This window comes from Homo sapiens, chromosome 1, assembly GCF_000001405.40.
Source record: "Homo sapiens chromosome 1, GRCh38.p14 Primary Assembly".
NCBI classification, from domain to species: Eukaryota; Metazoa; Chordata; class Mammalia; order Primates; family Hominidae; genus Homo; species Homo sapiens.
The window spans coordinates 76,981,422-77,003,785 of NC_000001.11; the positions used below are offsets into that span (position 1 = coordinate 76,981,422).

Genomic DNA, 22,364 nt, shown 5'->3' on the forward strand with positions numbered 1-22,364 from the left:
AGCGTGGCTGGGGGAGGGGCATCCAACATTGCTGAGGCTTAAGTAGGTAAACAAAGCAGCCTGGAAGCTCAAACTGGGTGGGGCCCACCACAGCTTGACAAGACCTACTGCCTCTAGACTCCACCTCTGTGGGCAGGGCATAGCTGAATAAAAGGCAGTAGACAACTTCTGCAGACTTAAATGTCCCTGTCTGACAGCTCTGAAGAGAGCAGTTGTTCTCCCAGCATTGCATTTGAGCTCGAGAATGGACAGACTGCCTCCTCAAGTGGGTCCCTGACCCCCTTGTAGCCTAACTGGGAGACACCTCCCAGTAGGGGCCAACAGACACCTCATATAGGTGGCTGCCCTTCTGGGACAAAGCTTCCAGAGGAAGGATCAGGCAGCAATATTTGCTGTTCTGCAATATTTGCTATTCTGCAGCCTACATTGGAGATACCCAGGCAAACAGGGTCTGGAGTGGAACTCCAGCAAACTCCAACAGACCTGCAGCTGAGAGACCTGACCGTTAGAAGGAAAACTAATGAGCAGAAAGGAATAGCATCAACATCAACAAAAAGGACATCCACACCAAAACCCCATCCATAGGTAACCAACATCAAAGAACAAAGGTAGATAAAACCACAAAGATGGGGAGAAACCAGAGCAGAAAAGCTGAAAATTCTGAAAATCAGAGCACCTCTTCTCCTCCAAAGGATCACAGCTCCTCGCCAGCAATGGAACAAAGCTGGATGGAGAATGACTTTGATGAGTTGACAGAAGTAGTCTTCAGAAGGTCGGTAATAACAAACTTCTCTGAGCTAAAGGAGTATGTTCAAACCCATCGCAAGGAAGCTAAAAACCCTGAAAAAAGATTAGATGAATGGCTAACTAGAATAAACAGTAAAGAGAAGACCTTAAATGACCTGATGGAGCTGAAAACCATGGCATGAGAACTTCGTGAAGCATGCACAAGCTTCAATAGCTGAATCAATCAAGTGGAAGAAAGGGTATCAGTAACTGAAGATCAAATTAATGAAATAAAGCAAGAAGACAAGGTTAGAGCAAAAAGAGTAAAAAGAAATGAATGAAACCTCCAAGAAATATGGGACTATGTGAAAAGACCAAATCTACATCTGATTGGTGTACCTGAAAGTGATGGGCGGATGAAGCCAAGTTGGAAAACACTCTTCAGGATATTATCCAGGAGAACTTCCCTAACCTAGCAAGGCAGGCCAACATTCAAATTCGGGAAATACAGAGAACACCACAAAGATATTCCTTAAGAAGAGCAACCCCAAGACACATAATTGTCAGATTCAACAAGGTTGAAATGAAGGAAAAAGTATAAGGGCAGCCAGAAAGAAAGGTCGGGTTACCCACAAAGGGAAGCCCATCAGACTAACAGCAGATCTCTCAGCGGAAAGCCTAAAAGCCAGAAGAGAGTGGGGGCCAATATTCAACATTCTTAAAGAGAAGAAATTTCAACCCAGATTTCATATCCAGCCAAACAAAGCTTCATACGTGAAGGAGAAATAAAATCCTTTACAGGCAAGCAAATGCTGAGAGATTTTGTCACCACCAGGCCTGCTTTACAAGAGCTCCTGAAGGAGGCACTAAACATGGAAAGGAACAACCAGTACCAGCCACTGCAAAAATATGCCAAATTGTAAAGACCATCGATGCTAGGAAGAAACTGCATCAATTAACAGGCAAAATAACCAGCAAACATCATAATGACAGGATCAAATTCACACATAACAATAATAACTTTAAATGTAAATGGGCTAAATACCCCAATTAAAAGACACAGACTGGCAAATTGGATAAAGAGTCAAGACCCATCAGTGTGCTGTATTCAGGAGACCCATCTCACATGCAAAGACTCACATAGACTCAAAATAAAGGGATGGAGGAAGATCTACCAAGCAAATAGAAAGAAAAAGAAAAAGCAGGGGTTGCAATCCTAGTCTCTGATAAAACAGACTTTAAACCAACAAAGATCAAAGGAGACAAAGAACACCATTACATAATGGTAAAGGGATCAATTCAACCAGAAGAGCTAACTATCCTAAATATATACGCACCCAATACAAGAGCACCCAGGTTCATAAAACAAGTCCTTAGAGATCTACAAAGAGACTTAGACTCCCACACAATAATAATGGGAGATTTTAACACCCCACTGTCAATATTAGACAGATCAACAAGACAAGTTAACAAGGATATCCAGGACCTGAACTCAGCTCTGCACCAAGCAGACCTAATAGACAGCTGCAGAACTCTCCACCCCAAATCAACAGGATATACATTCTTCTCAGCACCACGTCGCACTTATTCCAAAATTGACCACATAGTTGGAAGTAAAGCACTCCTCAGCAAATGTAAAAGAACAGAAATCACAACAAACTGTCTCTCAGACCACACTGCAATCAAATTAGAACTCAGGATTAAGAAACTCACTCAAAACCACACAACTACATGGAAACTGAACAACCTGCTCCTGAATGACTACTGGGTAAATAATGAAATGAAGGCAGAAATAAAGATGTTCTTTCAAATCAATGAGAACAAAGACACAACGTGTCAGAATCTCTGGGACACATTTAAAGCAGTGTGTAGAGGGAAATTTATAGCACTAACTGCCCACAAGAGAAAGCAGGAAAGATCTAAAATTGACACCCTAACATCAAAATTAGAAGAACTACAGAAGCAAGAGCAAACAAATTAAAATGCTAGCAGAAGGCAAGAAATAACTAAGATCAGAGCAGCACTGAAAGAGATAGAGACACAAAAAACCCTTCAAAAAATTAATGAATTCAGGAGCTGGTTTTTTGAAAAGATTAACAAAATTGATAGACTGCTAGCAAGACTAATAAAGAAGAAAAAAGAGAAGAAGACTCAAATAGATGCAATAAAAAATGACAAAGTGGATATCACCATCGATCCCACAGAAATACAAACTACCATCAGAGAATACTATAAACACCTCTACAAAAATAAACTGGAAAGTCTAGAAGAAATGGATAAATTCCTGGACACACACACCCTCCCAAGACTAAACTAGGAAGAAGTTGAATCTCTGAATAGACCAATAACAGGCTCTGAAATTGAGGCAATAATTAATAGCCTACCAAAGAAAAAAATTCCAGGACCAGAAGGATTCACAGCCAAATTCTATTAGAGGTACAAAGAGGAGCTGTTACCATTCCTTCTGAAAGTATTCTAATCAATAGAAAAAGAGGGAATCCTCCCTAACTCATTTTATGAGGCCAACATCATCCTGATACCAAAGGCTGGCAGAGACACAACAGAAAAAGAGAATTTTAGATGAATATTCCCAATGAACATCAATGCAAATATCCTCAATAAAATACTGGCAAACCAAATACAACAGCACATCAAAAAGCTTATGCACTACGATCAAGTCAGCTTCATCCCTAGCATGCAAGGCTGTTTCAACATACACAAATCAATAAATGTAATCCATCACATAAACAGAACCAATGACAGAAACCACATGATTATCTCAACAGATGCAGAAAAGGCCTTCGGCAAAATTCAACAGCTTTCTTGCTAAAAACACGCAATAAACTAGGTATTGATGGAACGTATCTCAAAATAATAAGAACTATTTATGACAAACCCACACCCAATATCATAGTGAATGAGCAAAAACTGGAAGCATTCGCTTTGAAAACCAGCACAAGAAAACGATGCCCTCTCACACCACTCCTGTGCAACATATTGTTGGAAGTTATGGCCAAGGCAATCAGGCAAGAGAAAGAAAGAAAGGGTATTCAATTAGGAAAAGAGGAAGTCAAATTGTCCCTTTTTGAAGATGACATGATTGTATATTTAGAAAACCCCATCATGTCAGCCCAAATCTCCTTAAGCTGATAAGCAACTTCAGCAAAATCTCAGGATACAAAATCAAGTGCAAAAATTACAAGCATTCCTATACACTAACAGACAAACAGAGAGCCAAATCATGAGTGAACTCCCATTCACAATTGCTACAAAGAGAATAAAATACCTAGAAATCCAACTTACAAGGGATGTGAAGGACCTCCTCAAGGAGAACTACAAACCACTGTACAACGAAAGAAAAGAGGACACAAACAAATGGAAGAATATTCCATGCTCATGGATAGGAAGAATCAATATCATGAAAATGGCCACACTGCCCAGGGTAATTTATAGATTCAAGGCCATCCCCTTAAGCTACCAATGACCTTCTTTGCAGAATTGGAAAACTACTTTAAAGTTCATATGAAGCAAAAAAGAGCCCGCATTGCCAAGTAAATCCTAAGCAAAAAGAACAAAGCTGGAGGCATCATGCTACCTGACTTCAAACTATACTACAAGGCTACAGTAACCAAAACAGCATGATACTGGTACCAAAACAGATATATAGACCAATGGAACAGAACAGAGGCCTCAGAAATAACACCACACATCTACAATCATCTGATCTTTGACAAACCTGACAAAAACAAGAAATGGGGAAAGAATTCCCTATTTAATAAATGGTGTTGGGAAAACTGGCTAGCCATATGTAGAAAGCTGAAATTGGATCCCTTCCTTATACCTTATACAAAAATTAATTCAAGATGGATTAAAGACTTAAATGTTAGACCTAAAACCATAAAAACCCTAGAAGAAAACCTAGGCGATACCTTTCAGGACATAGGCATGGGCAAGGACTTCATGACTAAAACACCAAAAGTGATGGTAACAAAAGCCAAAAGCCAAAATAGACAAATGGGATCTAATTAAACTAAAGAGCTTCCGCACAGCAAAAGAAACTATCATCAGAGTGAGCAGACAACCTAAAGAGTGGGAGAAAATTTTTGCAATCTACACATTTGACAAAGGGCTAATTTCCAGAATCTACAAAGAACTTAAACAAATTTACAAGAAGAAAACAAACAACCCCATCAAAAAGTGTGCAAAGATATGAACAGACACTTCTCAAAAGAAGACATCTATGCAGCCAACAGACACATGAAAAAATGCTCATCATCACTGGTTATTAGAGAAATGCAAATCAAAACCACCATGAGATACCATCTCACCCCAGTTAGAATGGCAATCATTAAAAAGTCAGGAAACAATAGATGCTAGAGGATGTGGAGAAATAGGAACACTTTTACACTGTTGGTGGGAGTGTAAATTAGTTCAACCATTGTGGAAGACAGTGTGGTGATTCCTCAAGGATCTAGAACTAGAATTACCATTTGACCCAGCAATCCCATTACTGGGTATATACCCAAAGGATTATAAATCATGCTACTATAAAGACACATGCACACGTATGTTTATTGTGGCACTATTCACAATATCAATGACTTGGAACCAATCCAAATGTCCATCAGTGATAGACTAGATTAAGAAAATGTGGCACATATACACCATGGAATACTCTGCAGCCATAAAAAAATAAAGGATGAGTTCATGTCCTTTGTAGGGACATGGATGTGACTGGAAACCATCATTCTGAGCAAACTATCCCAAGGACAGAAATCCAAACACCACATGTTCTCACTCATAGGTGGGAATTGAACAATGAGATCAGTTGGACACAGGGCAAGGGAACATCACACACTGGGGCCTGTTGTGGAGTGGGGGACTGGGGGAGGGATAGCATTAGGAGAAATATCTAATGTAAATGATGAGTTGATGGGTGCAGCAAACCAACATGGCATGTGTATACCTATGTATCAAACCTGCACCTTGTGCACATGTACCCTAGAACTTAAAGTATAATAATAAAAGCAAATAAACAAATAAACAAAATCAATAATAAGAAAATTTTTAAAAAGTAGCTATTACAATTCAATAATACAAAGACAAATAACTCAATTTTAAAATGAGCAAAGGATTTCAACCAACATTTCTCCAAAGAAGATATAAAATGTTAGCCAAACACACGAGAAGATTTTCAGCGTCATTCATCATTAGGGAAATGCAAATCCAAATCACAGTGAGATATCATTTGACACCAGTTAGGTTGGCTATATTCAAAAAGACAAAAAATAACAAGTGTTGGCAAGGATGTGGGAAAATTGGAACCCTCATACGTTGCTGGTCAGAATGCAAAATGTTGCAACCTCTTTGAAAAGCAGCCTGGCTGTTTCTCAAACGATTAAGAATAGAGTTACCATGTGGTCCAACAATTCTACCACTTGATATCTACCCAAGAGAAATGAAAACATGTCCACACAAAAGCTTTTGTATGAATGTTCATAGCAGCACCAGACACAACAGCCCAACAGTGGAAAAAACCCAAATGTCCATAAATTGATGAATAGATTAATAAAATGTAGTAACCCATATAATGGAATATTCATCAGCAATAAAAATAAATGAAGTACTTGATGCTTTTGCCTCACAACTCTTAAGATTCTTTCCTTTGTCCTGACTTTAGATAATCTGATGACTATGTGCCTAGGTGATGATCTTTTTGCGAAGAACTTCCCAGTGTTCTTAGAGCTTGTTGTATGTGGACGTCTAGATCTCTAGTAAAGCCAAGGAAGTTTTCTTCGATTAGTCCCTCAAATATGTTTTCCAAACTTTTAGATTTCTCTTCTTCCTTAGAAACACCAATTATTCTTAGGTTTGGATGTTTAATATAGTCCCAAACTTCTTGGAAGCCTTTTTCATTAAAAAAATTTTTTTTTCTTTGTCTTTGACAGATTGGGTTAATTTGAAAGCTTTGTCATCAAGCTCTGAGATTCTTTCTTCTGCTTCTTTGATTCTATTGCTGAGACTTTCCTGTGCATTTTGCATTTCTTTAAGTGTGCCCTTGATTTCCAGAAGTTGTGACTGGTTTTTATTTATGCTATCTACTTCACTGAAAATTTTTCCTTTCATATCCTGTATCACGTTTTTGATTCTGTCACTATCTTCTGTGTCCTTGCCAATATTTTAATTAAATTATTCACTCTATGGTCAGTTATCTTCACTTTGTTTTCTCTGTGAAGTTATATTTTTGTGCTCTTATTAGAGCATTTATATTTTTATTATATTAGTTATCTTTATAGTTATAAATTGATCTTAGTCCTCTGGTGTTTGTTTATTCTTACTAGTTATAACTGTGAATATTATTATATTTCTTCCTTTTCTCTCCTTTTATCTCTGGATCCAGCAGCATACTGATTTTAGTCAATAATTTCTTTTCTGGTGTTTGCTTTGATATAACTGTGTTTCTGATTTATGACTTGATTTGCCAACTTTAAATGAAATCCTTTGACTTCCAGCTGTTTTAAATTAAACAGTAAACACATTTTCTCATCATTTCAATTTCTTTCCCTCTTCTCCTCTCAATGTTTCAGTTATGTTTTATCTGCCACTCTAACTCACATTTTTCTAGTTTTAGTGGTACTGTTAAATATATAGTCTCCCTCAATCTTTTCCCCAAACTTATTGATTGACTGAATTTTCTCTTTTATTGGTTCCCACAAAAAGACATCAACAAAATAATATTGCTCCAGTTTTTGAACTCTTATTAAAACTATTGTTTGTAGCCCTTATACTTCAAGAAGAGTTTGCATATATATTCTTATCTCAAAGTCTCTTTGCTTGAGAATCTCATGGGATTGTATCTGGTATTCAGAGTTGCTGTGTAAAAACAGGAAGGCAGCCTGAATTCTTCTTTCTTGTAAAATTGACCTAGTCTTTTCACCTGTCTGCCGAAAGGATTCTTTATCTTTGAAGCCCAGCAACTTTATTGGGATATGTCTCATTGGTCATTCTGGGTCTTTCTTTATTTCTTCTATTCTATCACACCAACTTTGCCATTCTCAACCTCTGTGAATCTCCTGTGATTTTTATACTATCTGATTCTTTTGCCCCATTTTGTTTTTATTTCCTTAATTCTTCTATTTTTTTTTTCTTGGACTACACCTTTCCTTAGTTGTGCAAGCTCATATCTTATCTCTTCCTGCTATGCTACCATACTTTCCCTGAATTATTCCATTACTGTGTTATATATCATCTTTCATCCAGGTGATCACTTTAATTTGAAGGATTTTTTTTCCTCCAAATTCATGGCAAGACATTTGTTCATAACTTTCATTGGTATGGTAATATTTTACAGAAGGATATACTTTATTAATACATTTTTTGCCTTTTTTCCCTTTTGTCTTGGAGTATAGATATAATTTTTATTATTCATCTTTGAATGGTTTTCATTTTCCTAAGCTCTGTATTTATAAGGGCTTTCTTGAGGCAGGACCAGGTCAGCTTTCCTGTCTAGCATGCTTGCCCAGTGCAAAGGTTCTTCTTTTCCACAGTCTCCACAAAGGTAGAACGCTTCTCAAAAAAATGTGCCTTGTCTTTCCAAATCTTTATTTGGCCTTGCTTCTTCTTTTTTATGAAATTCATTATAGTCCCATTAGGGTAGAAGGTCACATCCTGCTTCTGCCACACCTTTGCCAGCAAGGGGTACAGCTTCTGACTCTCAAGACATACCCATCACTTGCGGGAAGGAAATTGTTAGTAGTGTGTTCTGAGATCTGTCATGGCTGGTCTCCTACAACTGAGGTCTTGAGATCTGTCTTTAGCCTTTCCCAAATTCTTCCCAGAAGAATTCAGTTGCTTTTAGAAAATCTTAAAAGTATTTTAAGATTTAGGATAAATACTTAAAAGTATTTAAACTCTCTCCTGAAGTTTATTTAACAACTGAGTTTTTGTTCTGAGTTTTCCATTCTTTATTTGCCTTAGGGTGGTTCCAGGGAGAGAAGTTTGGAGAAGGCTGCATGACGCAGCCATGAGTATACACTGGGAGTTTCCACTCCATCCCCAATCTCCACCAAAAAGACGGTGCTTCTGAAGGTATTTTTTTCCTTCTAATGCCTTAGTTTCTTTATACAGTGGCCAAAAATAGTACAAGAATATCTTCATGGCAACTACAGGCATTGCTCATTGTATGGCAAGCTGATTTATGGAACTTTTCCACTACAGAATTGATGGTTCTGAGCATGAACTCAAACAGCAGTTACCTGAAAATCCAGACACATGAGGTCTTATCCCCCAATCTGTCAGTTCTGTCAGGGTGAAATGTGCGCCTTCTCAGCCTTCTGTCTTCTTTGGTGCTCATTGCTAAATAGTTCAGTAGAAATGCCTCAGAGGAATCATCTTGGTGCTGGCTCCAAGGCTCTGTGCAGTCAGCCAGGCTATGAAAGAAGGCAGCCTGTGCCTTCTCCAGACTCATTCCTGCTCCATCCTCAACCTAATCTTCCTGAATACACTCTCCATTCAAGAGCCGATGGAAAAATGGATCACTGACAAATAACGAATTATTGTATGAATTAACCTCTTGCTGGCAACTGGGCAGTTTGATAGCAGACTCAAACTGGGTGATTTGAGAATTTAATAAAGGGACTACTAATTCATCCTATGCTAATATGAACCCTCATTTAGGGTTGAGAGAGAGTAGCCAAGGGATAGTGCAGTAGTTGGGGATTTATTAATGGCAGAGAGCCTTTACCATTTCTTGACCTGGAGGGGCTAAATGGCACAGGAAACACCCAAGAGTATTGCATAGCTAGGGCTTCTGGAAAGGAGCTTCAGCCTTCAGTAGTGGGCTATAGGCTGTAGAAGGAGGGAAGTAGGGAAAAGAATCTCACCCTCTCTGTGTCACCTTCTCAGCTCCTGCCAGTGCTTCTCATTGGCCAAACCAAATCAACAGCCAGATAGCAAATGGAGTTACTTGATTAAGTCCTCCTATGATGGGGGGAAGACAGTGGATATGGAGGGGCAGAAAGAAAATAAACAACCCTACAGGGATCCACCAATTGCTTTTATTCAGAATAAAATTTTATTCAGAATAAAATTTCAAAGCTATTTTATTCTGTACCAAACATTGCAAATGTTGGCTTGCGGAAAGCAAATACAAGATTATTCTAAAGAAAACATTAAGCCTGAGGCCATATATCAATTACAAGGTGAATTTTAGGGCTCAACACAGTTATATATCATCAAGTTCAAATGAACAAATGCCTGGATTTGAATGCTAAGGCATAGGATTATTTCAATATGCACACTCTGAGCATTTTCTGAAAATCATCAAGCTTTTATTACCATTTTATCCTAAATCCCCTGACCACTTCTCATTCAATTTGCATGAACAGGCCTCCTCTTTCCACCCTTATTTTAATCCTGGAGTTTCCTAACTCAGCCTTCTCCTCTGCTAATTCTACTCCTTCTCATAGACAGGTAACTTTTTCTATTCTTTGACATCAGTTTCCACATCTTCTCTAGTGAGATTTCATACTATTTCTTTAGCTCAGCCCTCCCTTATGAATTCTCAGCCCACAGAACATAGCTGCCAACTGGACATTTTCACCTGGATGCTTTATAGACATCTTAAATCATGTTGAAAAACTAACTCATTATCTTAAGCATTCCCAAACAACCTTCTAACTCACGCGTGTGCGCACACACACACACACACACACACACAGACACCCTGCCTATTCCTGAATTCTCAAACTTTTAAAATATTTCATGGCCTTCATTTTTGTTTTCTAACAAAAATAGATAAATGTATGAATGGAATGTTTTTTTGGCAGAGAAATAAGTAAATATTTTTAAAATTTCTTCAGTGTTTTCTACAATGAAAAGGAAATCAACAATTTCTATACTCTACGTAGGGGTCAGCTTCCCAAACCCATGACCCATTAGTAATCATCAACACCTTATCCCTGGTCTCCCATATCCCGGTGGTTATAAATTCATGGTTAAGGCACATAGCTCATGTCTTCCCTGCTTGGAACTGTATGCCCATGTCTGGCATTAAAACAGCTATTTCTTGAATGAGTAACTCTATGTCTTTTAGCTCTATGCTCTAACTATCTCCACTGCCAGCCCTGCTTCATCTGATTTTAGTCAATAATTTCTTTTCTGGTGTTTGCTTTGAGGACCTATGTCAAGATCTGCTGCCACCACCTTCACATAGGTTCTCAGTGTCTTCCTCCTATAGCACCAAAGGGCCTTCCAGAGGCCTTCCTGCCTCCAAATATTCCCTCTCTAATCCTTTCTCTTCACTGCAGCCAATTACCTTTCTAAAGGGCAATTGTGGTCCCTCTTTAATTTAATTTTATTTTATTTGAGACCGGTTCTGGCTCTGTCACCCAGTTTGGAGTTCGATGGTGCAATCTCAGCTCACTGCAACCTCTGCCTCCCAGGCTCAAGCTGTCCTGCCACCTCAGCCTCCCAGGTAACTGGGACTATAGGTGCATGCCACCATGCCCAGCTAATTTTTCTATTTCTTTGTAGAGATGAATTTTCACCATGTTGCCAGGCTGGTCTCAAACTCCTGAGCTCAAGTTATCTGCCCACCTCGGCCTTCCAAAGTGCTGGTATTACAGGCATGAGCCACTGAGCCCATAAATAATAATAAGAAAACTCACTACTTCTGCCTTGCTGGCTGGGCCACAGACGATTCCTGTGTATTTCCCAAAACAGTATGCACACACTTGCATTTGCAGGTTAGAGACAAAGTATGTCCACTCTAGGTTCTTGCTGCCCTTGAGCTACCTTCCAGTTTGCTACCTCCTATCTACAGGACTAAGACCCAAGTTCTTAGCATGGAAATCAGTTTTCCTTTTCAGCCTCATTTCCTGCCTTACCCATCCACTCACTTAGAACTTGGATTCTTCAACCTCTTACAGTCCCCTAAAATGTTTTCTGTGTGCCATGCCCCTTTTGCCTTCCCCAGGAGTTCCTATTTATGCTTCAAGAAGCATCTCAAATATCACTCCCTCCATGATGCCTTTGCGAACTCTCTAGCATTAGCTGCTCCTTCCTCTGATGTTGTCCTATTTTGTCTATCTCTGTGTTGTGCAATAATTACATCTTTACATTTCTGTTGGCCCAGCACAAGCCCTACAGGCCAGGGCTGTATTGTAGTTTTCTTTGTCATCCTACCCATCAGTGCCAAATTTGGAAAATAGCAAGAACTCAATCAATAGATGCTAAACTAATGAACACTTTATTAGCCTACATTTATGGAGCATTCTTGGTACCCATTAAACAGTTTCATCTCTCTCATATGTCAGTGTTATGTTTCACTGCAGCTTTCCCTAAGGAATTTTGTGAGAAATATGGAGTATTGCAGCACTATTCTTTGGTCACATGGGGGTTTAATTCCTATTTATACTTTTCTTGTATTACTAGAAATAATGACTGTAACTACTTATCTGGCAAATCTCTGAAATTTCTTTTTAAGGAAATTGTTATTGTTGGAGAAATTTGCAAAGCCCGACTCTGCCAGGGCTCTATTCCTCATATCTAAGCAGTTAATTCTCTACTACGTTACGTTTAGCTTTCGGCTCTGGAAACACTCTTTGAATGCCTCCTTTGTGCAGATTTATCCAACTCTCTCCTCTTTCTTTCATTAAGCTTGCCCTGTAAAGCCATATTCCTTCTGTTTTCAATTGTGAATTTATTTCCTCTGGAGCTTTCTGACTTAGAATCTATTTGAACTTCTATAGAAACTTTGGTTGAAAAGGAAAAAAAGAAAAAAAAGGGCCTATTTTTAAAGGTTTTCTCTTTCACCTAATATTAGAGGGGATTTCTTTGTGATTAAACAAATTTGTTATAAAGTAACACACACTGTGAAATATCCAAACAACTACAATGTCATTATAAATATATTTTTCTTATCAGAGAAGGCAACAGGCAAATCAGCCACTCTTGCAAGGTCATATTTCACAGAGACAGCTGAATTCACCCACTGTTGAATTATGTTATAAAGCCAGTGATTTAGTATTGTCATCTATTTTGATTGACACCAAAAGCCTTCCAGGACAGTAAATGTAAAGATGTTAGAAGAAAATCACTTACAAAATGGCTTGATAGTTCATGTTAATGAGTTTTAAAATGCGGTATAACAACTTAATCAAATCAGACAGCTCCATAAAAGAATTAATTTGGTCATTGGCTCTCTTTCCAAAATGACTTTGTTGTACTGAGTAAGGTGAGAATTTTTCTGTGGCTGAAACATTCACAACTAGATTCGAAATGACATAGCCTGGGATAAGTTATGGATTAACCAAAGTTTCTCAGGAGTTATTTATATTTGGCCTCTTGTTAAATGAGATGCATGTCTTTTCTGAAGTTTCATTTTAATGAAAGAGAAAGAAGAATATGAATGACATGTATTAAAGACCCCGAGCCCACACTTAAAACCTCAATTTTGGATAACTTGTGTGTTACCTTTTAGAAATTAGAGTGTCATTGGGTTGCTATTATGGGTCGCCAACAGAAGGGGATTCAGGAATATCTCCATACTGCCCCAGACCACAGCAATAATTTTCTGCAATGTCAAGAGAAAAACACAGGACAATAACCAGTTGAAAGCAGCAAAGTTCTGCATTATTTTTTGCTGTCCTCTTGTCCCAAACTCTAGAGGAGATTATTAGAAACGTAGTATCTGCCCCTGTAGAATTATGGGCTTATGACAAGACTAGAGACCTAAGGAGACTAGTTTCTTGTCTATCCGGGCTCAAACACCAACCTCTTTCATGCACTTCCAGACTGAAGTTGTTTCTAAGGTCAGCTTTAAGGAGAAAATTACATATAATCAGAATTACCCTCCAGAATTCATAAATCACCTTCCATTGGTATAGATCACTGTCTCTTGGATTGAGCAGCAGATTAAGTAGTCAGATTGCATTTAGGTTTACATTATATAAAATTTAATATGTTTTGGCTGGGCGCAGTGGCTCACACCTGTAATCCCAGCACTTTAGGAAGCCAAGGTGGGAGGATGGATAGAGGTCAGGAGTTCAAGACCAGCTTGGGCAACATAGCAAGACCTCATCTCTATAAAAACTTTAAGAATTAGCTGGACACAGTGGCACATGCCTGTAGTCCCAGATACTTGGGAGGCTGGGGCAGAAGGATCATTTGAGCCCAGGAGTTTGAGGCTGCAGTGAGCTATGATCATGACACTGCACTCCAGTCTGGGTGACAGAATGAGACCGTGTCTCTTTAAATATTAGGAATCACCTTCAGAATGGCATTGAAAGGCAGGAAGTCTGCCAGGCAGTGCGTGAGGGAAGAGCAGAGTCATAGACTCTCCTCAGACTATCTTATTGACGGACAAGTTACAGGTACTTTTAAAATCAGTCTCTCCTTCCTCTCTCTCTCTCCTTTTCTCAGCTTTCTGTCTCTCTCCTAGAGTTAAATTTTAATGAAAAAAAATAATGTGAATTATTTGTGTGTTATATATGTGTAACATTTCTATGTATTTATATTATTAATATGACATAATAATATAATATTTGTATTATTAATATTTATTTAAAACCATCAGCACACACTTAGAACCTCCGTTTTGGGTAATGTAGTTATTACCAACATTCCTACCTGACATTTATTTGTGTATTTGTTCAGTGTATATCTGTGTCTTCTGTGAGACTGTGGGGTTTATGAAGAAAGGGACTATGTATCTTTTGGCTCACCATTTCATTCCCACGACTAGCATGGAGCCGAAGAGGAGATGAAAACATTTTTATCAAATGAATGGCTAAAGGAGAGAGACCATTAGACATTACTACCTTTGGAAGTTCTCTTAGTAACTGTGGCTCAATCATGTTGCAGTGTTATAGACACCTTTATAATTTACAAAGAACTTTCACAAACATGGCCTCATTATAAAGGTGACAAGCATGATTGTCCCCCATACCAGTCTGTAGAAGAAGAAACTGAGACTTGGAGAGGCTAACCAACTTGTGCAAAGTTGCACAGCTAACTTATGACAGAACTAGGTCTTGAACCCCTGTCTTCTAACCCTTAGCCAGACCAGTTGGAGTTCCCCATCCCCAGTGACCTCTCCTACATTTATGGGGACTCTTGTGTATCAGAGTTTGTGACTCTGTGCCCGTGTAAGGCAGTGATCACATCTTGTCCCTCACAACAGAGATGTATTAAGTGCCTACTATGCGCCAGACATGCAAAAAACTTCCAGGACGCAAACAAGAATGAGATGTATGTATTTCTTGCCATCAAAACAACTCACAATCTAATGCAGCATAGTGTTAAACATGTACATTTCTAATATACTGTTGAATATGTTTGTGGATGAAATCCTATCCTGCTTGCAGTTGCAATAATCTGCAGGTTAAATGGAAGGAAAAGCAAGGCTTGCTGGTTTGCACAAACGTTAACAACTATTAGCTCAAGTTCGAAACAAGATTGTAACCATTCTGCACAAGTGTTAAGGAGTGCATATTTGCAGAGCTGAGGCCAGGAGGCTTAAATTTTAGAAACAGCTGTGGAACTCCTTTCAGTATGTACAGTTGGAAGGAGGCTGGCATTGTCAGGGAGTCGCTCTGGAAAATACAGGCACTGAATATATTTTATCTTTTCCCTTATTCCAGTGTTAGTGTCCCCATAGAATTCCAAGTGAGAAAATAACCTGCAAAGGTGTGAGGTGGGAATCATATTACAACATTCAAGCAGGTGAGATCCTCAGAGATGAAAGGGGAAGAAAATGGCACTTTAATGCATGAGAGTAATCTTCCAGGATTTGTACCAGGATGTGTTATATTTTAACAAGAAGAGTTCTCAGAAGGGTCAGTTTCAGGAACATCACATGAACCCCTGGAGAAAAGTAAATGGTTGATTGGCTGTCACACTTACTGTTTCAATATGCTGGGTAAAGCAAAGCGAGGAAAGGTGAGGTCTCACCAAGTGCAGATTACAAAACAAATGCATTCTTTGTGTGCTTTTTTCATAGTAGATGATTTTGAAACAAAAAGAGAAAAATAAACCTGTTGAGTAGAAACTTGGGAAGTAAAACTGAGTGATAGAGGATTAGTTTTCACATGTAGGCGGTACACAGAGTTTGTACAGTTTCGTAGTTACAAGACAGGGTAGAATGAATATTTAAAGAGAAGACTGTTAGGAACAATGGTTCAGAAGGATGAAGGAACTCAATAAGGTTGTGAGGGATTGAGAAGGAATGTTTTGCTTGAAACATGGAGTATGGCAACAATGAATGAGCCTAGTTTTGAATCAAAATGACCTGAAAAACTTCTGTAGAAAGTTTCCAACAAAGCAGTGCTGTATTATGGAAGATCCTGCCATATGGATTGAAACTTTTCTAGAACTTTTAATAGACGAGCCCTCATAAGTAAGATCCAGGCAACCAAATTACTACTCTTTGAATGCTATTGTGGGTATCATGTCAAGATCCAATGTTTTCTTTCCATGTTATACTAAAGAAATAAAACTTAATGTCTATAGTTCAGGTTATATTTGAAACTTTAATAGTTCTAGATTGAAGCTAGCATAAAAACACTGTATACTGAGCATGGTGGCTCACACCTGTAATCTCAATGCTTTGAGAGGCCAAGGCCAGAGGATCACTTGAGGCCAGGAGTTCAAGACCAACCTGAGCAACATAGCGAGACCCCATCTGATATGGTTTGGCTCTGTGTTCCCACCCAAATCTCACCTCAAATTGTAATAATTCCCATGTGTTAAGAGCGAGACCAGGTGGAGATAATTGAATCATGGTGGCAGTTTCCTCTATGCTGTTCTCATGATAGTGACTTCTCATGAGATCTGATGGTTTTATAAGGGGCTTCCCCCTTTTCTCAGCACTCATCCTCCCTCCTGCTGCCCTGCGAAGAGGTGCTTTCTGCCATGATTGTCAGTTTCCTGAGGCCTTCACAGCTATGCGGAACTACGAGTCAATTAAACCTCTTTTCTTTATAAATTACCCAGTCTTGGGTATTTCTTCATAGCAGCATGAAAACAGACTAATACAGTAAATTGGTACCAGGAGTAGTGGATCACTGCTGAAAACATACCCAAAAAATGAAAATAAAAAATTAGCCAGACATGATGGCATGCTCCTGAGGTCTAGCTATTCAGGAGGCTAAGGCAGGAGGATCGCTTGAGCCCAGAAGTTTGAGGTTACAGTGAGCTATGATTGTGCCACTGCACTGTAGCCTGGGTGACAGGGTGAGACTTTGTCTCTAAAAAAGTGAAATTAAAAAAAAGAAAGACTCCATAAATGACATTTTAAAGGGAAAAAATGTTTATGACAATTATATTGTATATTCAAACAAAATGTATTCTTATTTCATAACCAATGAAAATCTGTGTTGACTGGAAAAGAGATTAATTATGGTCACTGAGAAGCAGAATGTAAAGCATTATTTGCAGGAAAAGAAAGCCTAGTTTCCTTTACATGCCACTCACATATTGGTATTTTCTCATTATTAGAACTTACATTTTTTTAAGTTCAGAGTTTTAAAATTCCCCAGAGACTTCTGCAAAACCTGAACCATCATTGAGTAATCCATCAAAAATCCAGAGGCATTAAAAGTTCCATGACTAATATGTGTGAAATGTTTGAAGATGAAACTCTCTTTTGTAATTATAGACCGCAGAATGTGGAATAGTTTCTGCCGTTTGAATTACCTACCTGAGGATACTACTTGAAAGTTCCATCTTCCGTAAATAACAGCCAGCCTGTTATAGAAGACAGGCAGTGTTTTCATACCTGGAATAGAAATTATTTTAGAATCATTTCCATGCAACATTTTTTCATTATTACTAAGATCTGGTGACTATGAAAGGGAGTAAACTTACACAGCTGGCTCTTTTCAGACAGAGAGATTCAATTTATTCTTGTTCCAATACTGTAGGAAAATAAAAAGGTTAAAATTACCTTTTGGATTCAATGTGATATTTTCCCTAGATACCTAAACAAATGGAAGACAGGCAGCTTTCCCAGCTTTGGAATAGGGGACAGTAAGGGATTTCCCTTGTAGCGTGTTGTGTTTTATCTGAAATCTGGCCCTTTTCTGTAATTAAAAAAGGGATTTAGGTACTGAATTTAATCCTTTAAATGGCCAATATCTTGTAACTTTTCCAGATATTTCCCTGGTTCATCAAGAGGCAAGAGACTTACTTTAATTCTGATCTAATATGTACCTGCCTTTTAATTATGTGCTAAAACAATTTGGGAGATGGGATGGTTTGGTACAAACTTGCTCCTGCTGTGGAAATGGTGACTTGGTTGATCTAGGTTCTGGTCCAGAAATGTGCAGGTTTGGGTTTGTTTTTTTTTTTTCAATTATTATACTTTAAGTTTTAGGGTACATGTGCACATTGTGCAGGTTAGTTACATATGTATACATGTGCCATGCTGGTGCGCTGCACCCACTAACTCATCATCTAGCATTAGGTATATCTCCCAATGCTATCCCTCCCCCCTGCCCCCACCCCACCACAGTCCCCAGAGTGTGATATTCCCCTTCCTGTGTCCATGTGATCTCATTGTTCAATTCCCACCTATGAGTGAGAATATGCAGTGTTTGGTTTTTTGTTCTTGCGATAGTTTACTGAGAATGATGATTTCCAATTTCATCCATGTCCCTACAAAGGACATGAACTCATCACTTTTTATGGCTGCATAGTATTCCATGCTATATATGTGCCACATTTACTTAATCCAGTCTATCATTGTTGGACATTTGGGTTGGTTCCAAGTCTTTGCTATTGTGAATAATGCCGCAATAAACATACGTGTGCATGTGTCTTTATAGCAGCATGATTTATAGTCCTTTGGGTATATACCCAGTAATGGGATGGCTGGGTCAAATGGTATTTCTAGTTCTAGATCCCTGAGGAATCGCCACACTGACTTCCACAATGGTTGAACTAGTTTACAGTCCCACCAACAGTGTAAAAGTGTTCCTATTTCTCCACATCCTCTCCAGCACCTGTTGTTTCCTGACTTTTTAATGATTGCCATTCTAACTGGTGTGAGATGGTATCTCACTGTGGTTTTGATTTGCATTTCTCTGATGGCCAGTGATGATGAGCATTTTTTCATGTGTTTTTTGGCTGCATAAATGTCTTCTTTTGAGAAGTGTCTGTTCATGTCCTTTGCCCACTTTTCGATGGGGTTGTTTATTTTTTTCTTGTAAATTTGTTTGAGTTCATTGTAGATTCTGGATATTAGCCCTTTGTCAGATGAGTAGGTTGCGAAAATTTTCTCCCATTTTGTAGGTTGCCTGTTCACTCTGATGGTAGTTTCTTTTGCTGTGCAGAAGCTCTTTAGTTTAATTAGATCCCATTTGTCAATTTTGTCTTTTGTTGCCATTGCTTTTGGTGTTTTGGACATGAAGTCCTTGCCCATGCCTATGTCCTGAATGGTAATGCCTAGGTTTTCTTCTAGGGTTTTTATGGTTTTAGGTCTAACGTTTAAGTCCTTAATCCATCTTGAATTGATTTTTGTATAAGGTGTAAGGAAGGGATCCAGTTTCAGCTTTGTACATATGGCTAGCCAGTTTTCCCAGCACCATTTATTAAATAGGGAATCCTTTCCCCATTGCTTGTTTTTCTCAGGTTTGTCAAAGATCAGATAGTTGTAGATATGCGGCGTTATTTCTGAGGGCTCCGTTTTGTTCCATTGATCTATATCTCTGTTTTGGTACCAGTACCATGCTGTTTTGGTTACTGTAGCCTTGTAATATAGTTTGAAGTCAGGTAGCGTGATGCCTCCAGCTTTGTTCTTTTGGCTTAGGATTGCCTTGGCGATGCGGGCTCTTTTTTGGTTCCATATGAACTTTAAAGTAGTTTTTTCCAATTCTGTGAAGAAAGTCATTGGTAGCTTGATGGGGATGGCATTGAATCTGTACGTTACCTTGGCCAGTATGGTCATGTTCACGATATTGATTCTTCCTACCCATGAGCATGGAATGTTCTTCCATTTGTTTGTATCCTCTTTTATTTCCTTGAGCAGTGGTTTGTAGTTCTCCTTGAAGAGGTCCTTCACATCCCTTGTAAGTTGGATTCCTAGGTATTTTATTCTCTTTGAAGCAATTGTGAATGGGAGTTCACTCATGATTTTGCTCTCTGTTTGTCTGTTGTTGGTGTATAAGAATGCTTGTGATTTTTGTACATTGATTTTGTATCCTGAGACTTTGCTGAAGTTGCTTATCAGCTTAAGGAGATTTTGGGCTGAGACAATGGGGTTTTCTAGATATACAATCATGTCGTCTGCAAACAGGGACAATTTGACTTCCTCTTTTCCTAATTGAATACCCTTTATTTCCTTCTCCTGCCTAATTGCCCTGGCCAGAACTTCCAACACTATGTTGAATAGGAGTGGTGAGAGAGGGCATCCCTGTCTTGTGCCAGTTTTCGAAGGGAATGCTTCCAGTTTTTGCCCATTCAGTATGATATTGGCTGTGAGTTTGTCGTAGATAGCTCTTATTTTGAAATACCTCCCATCAATACCTAATTTATTGAGAGTTTTTAGCATGAAGGGTTGTTGAATTTTGTCAAAGGCTTTTTCTGCATCTATTGAGATAATCATGTGGTTTTTGTCTTTGGCTCTGTTTATATGCTGGATTACATTTATTTATTTGCGTATATTGAACCAGCCTTGCATTCCAGGAATGAAGCCCACTTGATCATGGTGGATAAGCTTTTTGATGTGCTGCTGGATTCGTTTTGCCAGTATTTTATTGAGGATTTTTGCATCAATGTTCATCAAGGATATTGGTCTAAAATTCTCTTTTTTGGTTGTGTCTCTGCCCGGCTTTGCTATCAGGATGATGCTGGCCTCATAAAATGAGTTAGGAAGGATTCCCTCTTTTTCTATTGATTGGAATAGTTTCAGAAGGAATGGTACCAGTTCCTCCTTGTACCTCTGGTAGAATTCGGCTGTGAATCCATCTGGTCCTGGACTCTTTTTGGTTGGTAAACTATTGATTATTGTCACAATTTCAGTTCCTGTTATTGGTCTATTCAGAGATTCAATTTCTTCCTGGTTTAGTCTTGGGAGAGTGTATGTGTCGAGGAATTTATCCATTTCTTCTAGATTTTCTAGTTTATTTGCATAGAGGTGTTTGTAGTATTCTCTGATGGTAGTTTGTATTTCTGTGGGATCAGTGGTGGTATCCCCTTTATCATTTTTTATTGTGTCTATTTGATTCTTCTCTCTTTTTTTCTTTATTAGTCTTGATAGCGGTCTGTAAATTTTGTTGCTCCTTTCAAAAAACCAGCTCCTGGATTCATTAATTTTTTGAACGGTTTTTTGTGTCTCTATTTCCTTCAGTTCTGCTCTGATTTTAGTTATTTCTTGCCTTCTGCTAGCTTTTGAATGTGTTTGCTCTTGCTTTTCTAGTTCTTTTAATTGTGATGTTAGGGTGTCAATTTTGGATCTTTCCTGCTTTCTCTTGTGGGCATTTAGTGCTACAAATTTCCCTCTACACACTGCTTTGAATGCGTCCCAGAGATTCTGGTATGTTGTGTCTTTGTTCTCATTGGTTTCAAAGAACATCTTTATTTCTGCCTTCATTTCGTTATGTACCCAGTAGTCATTCAGGAGCAGGTTGTTCAGTTTCCACGTAGTTGAGTGGTTTTGAGTGAGATTCTTAATCCTGAGTTCTAGTTTGATTGCACTGTGGTCTGAGAGATAGTTTGTTATAATTTCTGTTCTTTTACATTTGCTGAGGAGAGCTTTACTTCCCAGTATGTGGTCAATTTTGGAATAGGTGTGGTGTGGTGCTGAAAAAAATGTATATTCTGTTGATTTGGGGTGGAGAGTTCTGTAGATGTCTATTAGGTCCGCTTGGTGCAGAGCTGAGTTCAATTCCTGGGTATCCTTGTTGACTTTCTGTCTCGTTGATCTGTCTAATGTTGACAGTGGGGTGTTAAAGTCTCCCATTATTAATGTGTGGGAGTCTAAGTCTCTTTGTAGGTCACTCAGGACTTGCTTTATGAATCTTGGTGCTCCTGTATTGGGTGCATATATATTTAGGATAGTTAGCTCTTCTTGTTGAATTGATCCCTTTACCATTATGTAATGGCCTTCTTTGTCTCTTTTGATCTTTGTTGGTTTAAAGTCTGTTTTATCAGAGACTAGGATTGCAACCCCTGCCTTTTTTTGTTTTCCTTTGGCTTGGTAGATCTTCCTCCATCCTTTTATTTTGAGCCTATGTGTGTCTCTGCACGTGAGATGGGTTTCCTGAATACAGCACACTGATGGCTCTTGACTCTTTATCCAATTTGCCAGTCTGTGTCTTTTAATTGGAGCATTTAGTCCATTTACATTTAAAGTTAATATTGTTATGTGTGAATTTGATCCTGTCATTATGATGTTAGCTGGTTCTTTTGCTCATTAGTTGATGCAGTTTCTTCCTAGTCTCGATGGTCTTTACATTTTGGCATGATTTTGCAGCGGCTGGTACTGGTTGTTCCTTTCCATGTTTAGCGCTTCCTTCAGGAGCTCTTGTAAGGCAGGCCTGGTGGTGACAAAATCTCTCAGCATTTGCTTGTCTGTAAAGGATTTTATTTCTCCTTCACTTATGAAGCTTAGTTTGGCTGGATATGAAATTCTGGGTGGA

General features: G+C 38.6%; 1 protein-coding gene across 3 annotated transcripts in view, besides 1 other annotated feature; it reads left to right on the forward strand.

Moving 5' to 3' along the window:
- ST6GALNAC5 (ST6 N-acetylgalactosaminide alpha-2,6-sialyltransferase 5) overlaps positions 1 to 22,364 on the forward strand; it is a 200,067-nt gene that overhangs the window by 113,942 nt on the left and 63,761 nt on the right. The gene's annotated exons all lie outside the window — the stretch shown is intronic.
- Positions 16,747 to 17,946: an enhancer, noted in NCBI's record as "P300/CBP strongly-dependent group 1 enhancer chr1:77463853-77465052 (GRCh37/hg19 assembly coordinates)". NCBI's record gives its function as "activates an origin of replication core promoter dependent on BRD2, BRD4, P300/CBP, MED14 and CDK7 cofactors, with strong dependence on P300/CBP, by STARR-seq in HCT116 cells {active_cell/tissue: HCT116}" and the evidence as "EXISTENCE:reporter gene assay evidence [ECO:0000049][PMID:35650434]".